The sequence below is a fragment of the Homo sapiens genome, chromosome 6 (genome assembly GCF_000001405.40).
Source record: "Homo sapiens chromosome 6, GRCh38.p14 Primary Assembly".
NCBI lineage: Eukaryota > Metazoa > Chordata > Mammalia > Primates > Hominidae > Homo > Homo sapiens.
In genome coordinates, this window is record NC_000006.12 from 2756627 (window position 1) to 2765339 (window position 8713).

Below are 8713 nucleotides of genomic sequence, written 5' to 3' on the forward strand. Positions count from 1 at the left end.
ACACCATAGGATTATTTCCGCCCTTTCCCTATACCACATATGTAACCCCCTCCCACTGATACTTTAAGCCTAAAAATTTTAAACATGAGAAAACACAAAATAAAATGCTTGCTACAAGGTAAAATTCATACTACTGTTGTGACTATCCATTCTAAACAATTGAGGAAAGTCTAAGGATATTCATTTCCAATATTTAAAAATCCCATGCTACAGCATGAATCATCATTTTCTACTTTTAGGAACTGGAGGAACAATGTTTATGTTTATGTTCTCGGGAATGCTCTCCTACCTTCTAAATTGGAAGTAGATTTCAGAGCTAGAATAAGCTTATGATAGTAACAAGGCATGAAATTACAGAAGTGCAAAGTCCAAGTCATGCTCTTCTGACCAAATGTTGGCCTCCTTGTCCCAAGAGGGTAAGGTTGAGAGGAGAAATTTTCCACATGGAAAAACACTGCCATAGGGCGTGCATTAATGGCTGATGGGCAGTTTGGTGAACTCTCAGAGGTGTGCTTTTTTTTTTTTTAATTAAAGATAAAAGTTGTATTTTTAGGTAGAAAATAAGTTGAGCTATTATGTAATGACTCATAATAGGTCGCGAGCTTTTATTCTACATGTCCAAAAGTATTGAAGAATCTGGGGTACAAAAGGACCATGGCAGCTCGTAAAATGGTAAAAAGCATTATAAGCACCAGTTAGTGTATGGAAAACATCTTCAGTGTGAATGAAGCCTGGGAGGCAGAGGGCAGATAGGCAGCCTTGTATACTTCTGGTTAAAATGCATATTGCTCTGATTTTTATGGAAGGCAACTTGGTCATGCCCTTTGACCCTGCAATCACATTTCTAAGAAGTTTACCTCAAAGAAACAGAGTAGTACACAAAATATTATCTCTGAAGATATCATCATAACATTATTTGTTATATATAAAACACTGAAATAGAACCTATGTACAAGAGTTATAGATAGGATACTTCCATAAAAAAAAAAAAACTAGGGTTATTGGTTATGTGTCAATTTCATAGTTAGGGAAAAAGGGACAGATCCGGGCACAGTAGATGCAATAGGATCTGAATTTTAACTAAAGAAAGATGCACTGTCAATACATAGCAGATGAATGATAATACAGAGATCCATAGCTAAATAGATAAGATTGCTATACCAAATATGGTTTGTGCTTTCCTGGAGTTATCCATTTTTCTAAAATAAACATATATTTCCTTCTTAATGTAAAAAGGTTGCCAAAATAAATTTCCCAGCCTAGTGGGAAAGTCATGGGCATTGGAGACACACAGCCTAGGCTTGAGTTCAAGCTCTACTAGCTGTGTTGACTCAAGAGCTGCTCAGTCTTCCCGAAACTCAGTGCTTCCTATTTGTTAAGTGAGGATAACAACATTTACCTTATGGGGTTGTTGAGGGGTAAACAATGAGATAAAAATGGTTGATGCATTAGAGAAACTTAATAAATAATAGCCTTTATGGTTATCATTGGTAATATTATTGTTATTCATGTTATCAGATCTCCTAAGAAATAAAAGATTATTTGGCTGAAAAATTTAGAGCCAAGATTCTAAAGACGAAAAATATTCTGGAGTAGCTCAGTTTTCTTAATCAACAGTGTAACATCACTTACTGTTATTGTATACCAGGGCCTTAACAACTATGAAATGAAGTCACAGTAATTTATAATATTTTTTCTTTTATCAGGACATATATATTACATATATATTACATATGTATATATGAAATACATATTTTTGATAATATAAATAACAAAAATGTTATAAGTATACATGACATATAATATGTAAGATATATAACAATAAAAGATATATGTATCTTTTATTGAAAGATATACATATGGAAAGTATATAAAACCATACACTATTTAATAAATAATTATAAAAGCAATACTCATAAAGCCACCACCAGGTCAAGAATCCCCAAATTCAAAAATCCCATCCTTTTGTCCTTCCCAAGCTAACCACTAATCTAAATCTTTTCAATAATTTCCTTGATTTTCCTTGCAATTTTACCATTTACATGTGCACTCTAAATATATAGCTTCGTTTTGGCAGTTTTAGTTTGTTTGAATGTATTCATACTGTTTGTATTATTTTCTTAGTTTTTTTCCCAGTTAAAACTGTCTGTAACCCATCATATTGTTGTATATAGTGTGTATAGATGTCTTTAGTTTTCATTATTATATAATATTTTGTTGTATGAATATTACAAAATGTATGTGTTTATTCACTGATGGAGACATTTGGCTGTTTTCCATTTAGGGCTGCTATGAACACCAATGTGCACACATGAAGTACACACACTTAAATGTATACACAAGTTTACACTCCCACCAGCACTATAAGAATTCTCCTGTTGCTCTATAGCTTTAAAAACACTTAGTTTTTGCTAATCTATTGGGTGTGCAATAGCATATCATTTATAAATTTAAATTTCATTTCTCTTACTAAAGAGTTGAAGGGTTTCTCTTTTGTTGTTATTTTTAGAGACAGGTCTTACTCTGTCACCCAGGCTGGAGTGCTGTGGCACAATTATAGCTCACTGTGGCCTTGAATTCCTGGCCTCAAGTGATCCTCTCGAGTAGTGAGGACCACTGGTGCACAATACCACGCCAAGCTAATTGTTTAAAAAATTTTTGTAGAGATGGAGGTCTCACTTTTTTGCCCAGGTTGGTCTTGAACTCCTGGGTTCAAGTGATCCTCCTGCCTTGGCCTCGCAAACTGCTGGGATTACAGACATGAACCACTGTGCCCAGCTAAGATGTTCTCAAATACATATTTGGTCACTTGGTCTCTGTTTTTCATGAAGTACATATTTATGTTCTTTACTCACTTTTAATTACATTTTCTCCTATTTTCTTATCATTATGTAGGACTTATTCTACATCCTACACACTGTGCTTGACAGTAATGTGTGTTTAAGATGTCTTCTCCCTTTCTGTTCCTTGTATTTTCACTCTTGTAGTATCTTCTGCTAAATAAATAGATGTTCATTTTCATGTAGTAAGATGTATTAATCTTTTCCTTTTACGGTTAGTGCATTATTTTTTAAAAAATAAACCTTTCCCCTCATCAATGATGTTTTTACCATTCAACATGATAATGGTGCTGGTTTGAGGGCAAAAACAAAAATCATCATGTTAAGAAGATAACTTTCTCTATTTTACTAGAGATTTTTAAAAATCAATGATTGAAGTAGACTTTTGTCAAATGTCCTTTCACATTCCACTTTATAAGATACAGAGAACTGATCTTTCCAATAATTTGACAATACAGTTGGCCCTCCATTTCCACATGTTCTGCACCTTCTCATCCAACCAACAGTGGATCAAAAATTTGGGAAAAAATAAGAAACAGCAGTACAATTAATAAAAAATAGGACAAATAAAAAACCAATACAGTATAATAGCTATTTATATAGCATTTACATTGTATTAGGTATCACAAGTAATCTAGAGATGATTTAAAATATATGAGCATATGTGCATAGGTTACAAAAAATAATACAAATAAAAAAGCAATACAGTATAATAACTACTTATATAGCATTTACATTGTATTAGGTATCATAAGTAATCTAGAGATGACTTAAAATATATGGGAGTATGTGCATAGTTTTATAAGTTTTATTATAAAGGAGACACATGGGTGAGGGGCAGGAGGGTCCCAGACATGGAGCTTCCAAGCCCTCTCCTTGTAGAATCCAGGCACACCACCCTCCCAGCACATCATCATGTTCACAACCAGGAAGCTCCACTGAGTTTCTATGTCCAGAGTTTTTATTGAGGTTTCATTGTGTAGGCATGATTGATTAAATTGTTGGCCAAGCAATCAAATTCAATTTCTAGCCCCTGAGATTGAGCTGGTCCCAAGTTCCAACCTTAGGGAGCCACTAGGAGTTGCTTCATTAGCATTATATAGGCACTCCTAGCACTCAGGAAATCCCACGGGATTCTGAAGATCTCTGCCAGGAGCCAGGGAGAAAGGCTGTATATACTCCTTTTTATACTATGAATATCAATGGAAAATCACCTAAAACTAATAAGAGTTCACAAAAAGGCCAAGTATGAAATAAATTAACAAAAAATCAATGCATTTCTTTCATACCAATAAAGGGCAGTAAGAAAATAGAGTAAATAAAAGGTTCTACTTACAATAGTAAGGAAATATATAAAATGTGTTAGAATAAACAATACGAAATGTGGCATAGATTCCAGAAGATGTAGTGGAAAGTCAAGAAGAGAGAGGAACATGAGTTTGGGTTAGGGGGCAGTAATCAGAGTAGGAAGAATAGATAACCATACGACTAACTTTTAAGATGCTGACTAAAGATGGCAGGGATGTGAGTCATGTGGGATTAACTGGACTCAACTGTCCAGCATACCTTAGGTATGAACATGAAGGTGCGCAAGATCATGCCCAAAGGTTCACTAGTAGTAGATGGCTTATAAAATACCTGCTCATAGGCACTGCAGCCAGGCTGACTCTACTTGTCGTTACTGACAGGTCTATTTGAGTCACCACCGAATCTATCCTCCCCATTCTGACTGTGGGGAAGGAAGACAGAGAAGATAGTTACACACTTAAAAGTAAACCACCGAGGCCAGCTGCAGACAATTAAACAGTGAGGTATTAAAGGAGAAAATGGAAGCCTAGGTTTCTGCTTTACATTGATTTCATTTCCTGGGACCTTATACTATACGAGTTTAAATTTATTTGTATTTATGCTGATCTGAAAAGAAAGTTTAAATTTGATTGGCAAAGCAATCTAAGAGGAGGGGTGATTTTTGAAGTACGTTTTTTTCATTTATTTTTCTACCATCACCACCTAGTGGAGAAAACCTTGAACTTCAGACAGAGGGGACTAGGGTTCAGGAAAAAATATTACTACAGGACCTACTGGGTGCCAGGCACTTTACTAAATACTTTCACATTGACAAGTTCACTTAATTCTCATGACAGACCGTGAGGTAGGCATTCTTATTCCTCCTTTAGATTTGGAAACTGAGTGTGAGAAGTTATGTAGCTTGCCCAAGGTCACACTATGGACAGCTCAAAACCCAGGTTCTTGAAGTCAAGGTCTAGAGTCATTTTCACCTCATAGGTCATCCAAATAGCTCAACTTCATCCATGTATGTAGCTGTGGGAGACATGCACACACACACACAATCTTTGCTTTGTATTTTTCCTTTTTATTATTTACATAATATAGGATAGAAAAGCACAAGTAGAAAAAGGAAATGGCATTATACTATATACATTAGGTTTTGTTTTTATTTTTTGAGACGGATTCTCGCTCTGTCGCCAGGCTGGAATGCAGTGTTGTGATTTCGGCTCACTGCAACCTCCACCTCCTAGATTCAAGTAATTCTCCTGCCTCAGCCTTGCAAGTAGCTGGGACTACAGGCTCGCACCGCCACACCCAGCTAATGTTTGTATTTTTAGTAGACAGGGTTTCACCATGTTGGCCACGATGGTCCCCAACTCCTGTCCTTTTGTGATTCGCCCGCCTCAGCCTCCCAAACTGCTGGGATTACCGGAGTTTATATTAATTCTATCTCTCTTAATTTTTACTCCCATAGTACACAAGTTTCCCATGACAATACTTTTGAAAACCCTATTAACAATAAAGTTGGACGTAAAATTAGGTCTATATGCAACTCTACTGTCTAATCTTGAAACACGTCCTAAGAGACTTAAGGTACCAAAATACTAACAATGATTACAAGTAGACTTGTAGATTTTCCACAGCATTATTTTCTGAAAAAAGAAATTTTAGGCCTTATATTAAGAGATTCAAGAAATTTGTTTCCATTTTAAAATTTTTTGGATGGGTTAATTGATCATGTGGCCACGTTATCTCTATAAATGTTTAAAATCAGTGTACTGTATTTCCACATTTAGTAACACTTTTCTTGAAAACCTTGCTTTGAGATCAGCCCTAAAACTTGTTTTGCAAGTATTCACTTCTGTGATGCTCCTGCAATAATCCTTATGTGCTCGCAGTCAATGAGTTTTTACTCTCATTAACTTGATGAATAAACGCATAGACCCTCACGGAAACTGTTAACAGTTCTTAAACACAGTGCAGAGTTTCTTCTTTCTGGTAGCTTCCTGATCTCGCCGGCTCAGAAATCAACTGGCAGACCTTCCCGGAGACCGTTAGAGGTCTTAGGTCAGCATCTCTTAAGTTAGCCGTTCCTGCCAGTGGGTTCAGTGGGTTTGTGGTCTGACTGCCTTCAGAAATAAAGCTACAAGTCTCCACAGTGAGTATTACCACTCATTAAGACAATTCAGACCCAAACACCAGCTAATGCAAAAAATAAAAGAACAAAACACCCACACAAGCAAAAGAAAGCCAAGCGGGTCTCCATCGCCAGCTCTAGCAGCCTGCTTTTATTCTCTCATCTGGCCCCACCCACAACCTGCTGATTGGTCCATTTTACAGAGAGCCCATTGGTCTGTTTTACGGAGAGCTGATTGGTCTGATTTGACAGGGTGCTGATTGGTGTGTTTACAAACCTTGAGCTAGATACAGAGTGCCGATTGGTGTATTTACAATCCCTTAGCTAGACATAAAGGTTCTCCAAGTCCCCACCAGACTCAGAAACCCAGTTGGCTTCTCCCATTAATTTCTGAACTGGGGCTGCAGTATAGAGTTGCTTGCTAGTCCCACGTAATGAGCCTGCATTGCTCAGCTCTGGGGTGGTGAACGGCCCTGGGTGCCGTGAGGCAGTAAGCAGCGCTTCTCAGGGAGGCTTGGGCCGCGCAGGAGTCCCCAGTTGGGGGGAGGCTCAGGCATGGCAGGCCTGAGCCTTGCGCTGCGTGGAGGCAACTACGGCCTGGCGAGAAGTGCTGTCCCAAGTGCTAAGCTCCTCACCGTCCTGGGCCGGTGGTGCAGGCCGCTCCGAGCGCGAGGCTTATCTGAGCCTACTCCCACCCGGAACTCGCGCTGGCCCGCAAGCACCGCGCGCAGCCCCGGTTCCCGCCCGCGCCTCTCCCACCATACTTCCCCACAAGCTGAGGGAGCCAGCTCCGGCCTTGGCCCGCCCAGGAAAGAGCTCCCATAGTACAGCGGCAGGCTGAAGGGTTTCGCAACCACGGCCGGAGTGGACGCCAAGGCAGAGGAGGCGCTGAGAGCGAGCGAGGACTGAGAGGGCTGCCAGAATGCTGTCACCTCTCACTGCTGAGGGACAAATGAAAAAAAAAAGCTCACGGTCGGGCGCAGTGGCTCATGCCTGTAATCCCAGCACTTTGGGAGACCGAGGTGGGCGGATCACCTGAGGTCGGGAGTTCGAGGAAGAAACCCCGTCTGTACTAAAAATCCAAAAAAATTACCTGGGTGTGGTGGCGGACGCCCGTAATTCCAGCTACTCGAGAGGCTGAGACAGCAGAATCACTGGAACCCGGGAGGCGGAGGTTGCCGTGAGCTGAGATTGCGCCATTGCACTCCAGCCTGGACAAGAGTGAAACTGCGTCTCAAAAAAATAATGAAAGCTCACGATCCTCTTTTGGTAGTTTCACGTTACATGATGATTAAAGTTTAACTTGTTTCTCTAGCGTTTCTATTAATCTTATTTTTGAGCCTAACTTTTTTAGTTAGAAACAACTCTTAACCAGCCAGCCAGGCGTGGTGGCTCAGCCTGTAACCCCAGGACGACTCCAAAGGCTAAGGCGGAAGGGTCCCGGGCGCCCAGGAGTTCAAGGCTGTGAGCTCTGGTCGCGGCCCTGCACTCCAGCCTGGGCGACAGAACGAGTGAGACCCTCAATGTGCTCTTGCCCAGATGAAATAAAAATTCAAGTTTTGGCCAAATTTCGGAAAAGTCTTCATTCTCCCTCAATTCATTTACCTCTTCTAGTTACCAAAAATGCCTGTTTTGAGATACATGTTTTAAAACGGGAGACTTAGACAAAAGCAAAAAATAACATGGTAATTCATTCAAAGATGCAGACTACCACACTTGTTTTAATCTGATATTCTTTCCATTTCTATCCGTCTAGGACGTAATTGCACACGGGCGCCTCCCATCATTTGGTTGCTAAGGAGACAGAAGGCTGGTGTTTCCGATTTGCCACTATTACACAGCGGCCCGCGAGAAGCATCTCTTGGCTCGAAGCGCGCTGTAGGTGAACCGCCCTTGACTTAAACGCCAACACATCTAAAAGGGGGCGAGGGACGCTTTATTTTCATTTCCCTGACCACTACTGAGGTGAGCATTTCTTTCACTCGCGTACTTGTTTGTATTTTTTCTGCTGTTCACGTCCAATAGAACACTGGTTTTCTATTGGAGGCTTTTGGGTTTTTTCCCCCATTTCCCTTTCGTTACAAACGACCCGCTGCGGCCGCCTCCTGCTTGTCCCCACAGGCCCATTCAACAGCCCAGCACGGAAGGCCGGGAAAGCGGCGCTCGCCGCTCCAACAACCTCGCGCAGTCCGTGGCTCCTCCCTGCCCTCGCGCGACTCGCAGGCCTGGGCGGAGGGCTGCGTCCGCCACCGCGCAACCTCGCGCACGCGCACCACGCTCGCCTCGCAACCCCCCCCCCCGCCCCTCCCCCGCCCCCGCAAAGGCTGTTCTCAGAGTCGGAAATGGACGCACGGCAGCTGGGGCGAATGGCCGCGGACTACACTTCCCGAAGTGCCGCGCGAGGTATTCTCGGCGGTGATTGGGGCAAACGGCCACGGACTACACT

At 41.1% G+C, this 8713-nt stretch overlaps 1 protein-coding gene across 3 annotated transcripts in view, besides 6 other annotated features; it reads right to left on the reverse strand.

Annotated features, from left to right (window-relative positions):
• MYLK4 (myosin light chain kinase family member 4) overlaps positions 1-8713 on the reverse strand; it is a 106740-nt gene that overhangs the window by 92990 nt on the left and 5037 nt on the right. The gene's annotated exons all lie outside the window — the stretch shown is intronic.
• Positions 209-503: an enhancer, noted in NCBI's record as "tiled region #3200; HepG2 Activating DNase matched - State 8:EnhW". NCBI's record gives its function as "activates a minimal TATA promoter and a strong SV40 promoter by Sharpr-MPRA in HepG2 cells {active_cell/tissue: HepG2}" and the evidence as "EXISTENCE:reporter gene assay evidence [ECO:0000049][PMID:27701403]".
• Positions 209-503: a silencer, noted in NCBI's record as "tiled region #3200; K562 Repressive non-DNase unmatched - State 7:EnhWF". NCBI's record gives its function as "weakly represses a minimal TATA promoter and a strong SV40 promoter by Sharpr-MPRA in K562 cells {active_cell/tissue: K562}" and the evidence as "EXISTENCE:reporter gene assay evidence [ECO:0000049][PMID:27701403]".
• Positions 7332-8211: an enhancer, noted in NCBI's record as "H3K27ac-H3K4me1 hESC enhancer chr6:2764192-2765071 (GRCh37/hg19 assembly coordinates)". NCBI's record gives its function as "activates a minimal SCP1, AML or CMV promoter by ChIP-STARR-seq in naive H9 embryonic stem cells {active_cell/tissue: H9 hESC(naive)}" and the evidence as "EXISTENCE:reporter gene assay evidence [ECO:0000049][PMID:30033119]".
• Positions 8058-8147: a silencer, noted in NCBI's record as "silent region_16828". NCBI's record gives its function as "represses an Ori minimal core promoter by ATAC-STARR-seq in GM12878 lymphoblastoid cells {active_cell/tissue: GM12878}" and the evidence as "EXISTENCE:reporter gene assay evidence [ECO:0000049][PMID:35858748]".
• Positions 8309-8603: an enhancer, noted in NCBI's record as "tiled region #3960; HepG2 Activating DNase unmatched - State 1:Tss, and K562 Activating DNase matched - State 1:Tss". NCBI's record gives its function as "activates a minimal TATA promoter and a strong SV40 promoter by Sharpr-MPRA in HepG2 and K562 cells {active_cell/tissue: HepG2 | K562}" and the evidence as "EXISTENCE:reporter gene assay evidence [ECO:0000049][PMID:27701403]".
• Positions 8528-8577: a silencer, noted in NCBI's record as "silent region_16829". NCBI's record gives its function as "represses an Ori minimal core promoter by ATAC-STARR-seq in GM12878 lymphoblastoid cells {active_cell/tissue: GM12878}" and the evidence as "EXISTENCE:reporter gene assay evidence [ECO:0000049][PMID:35858748]".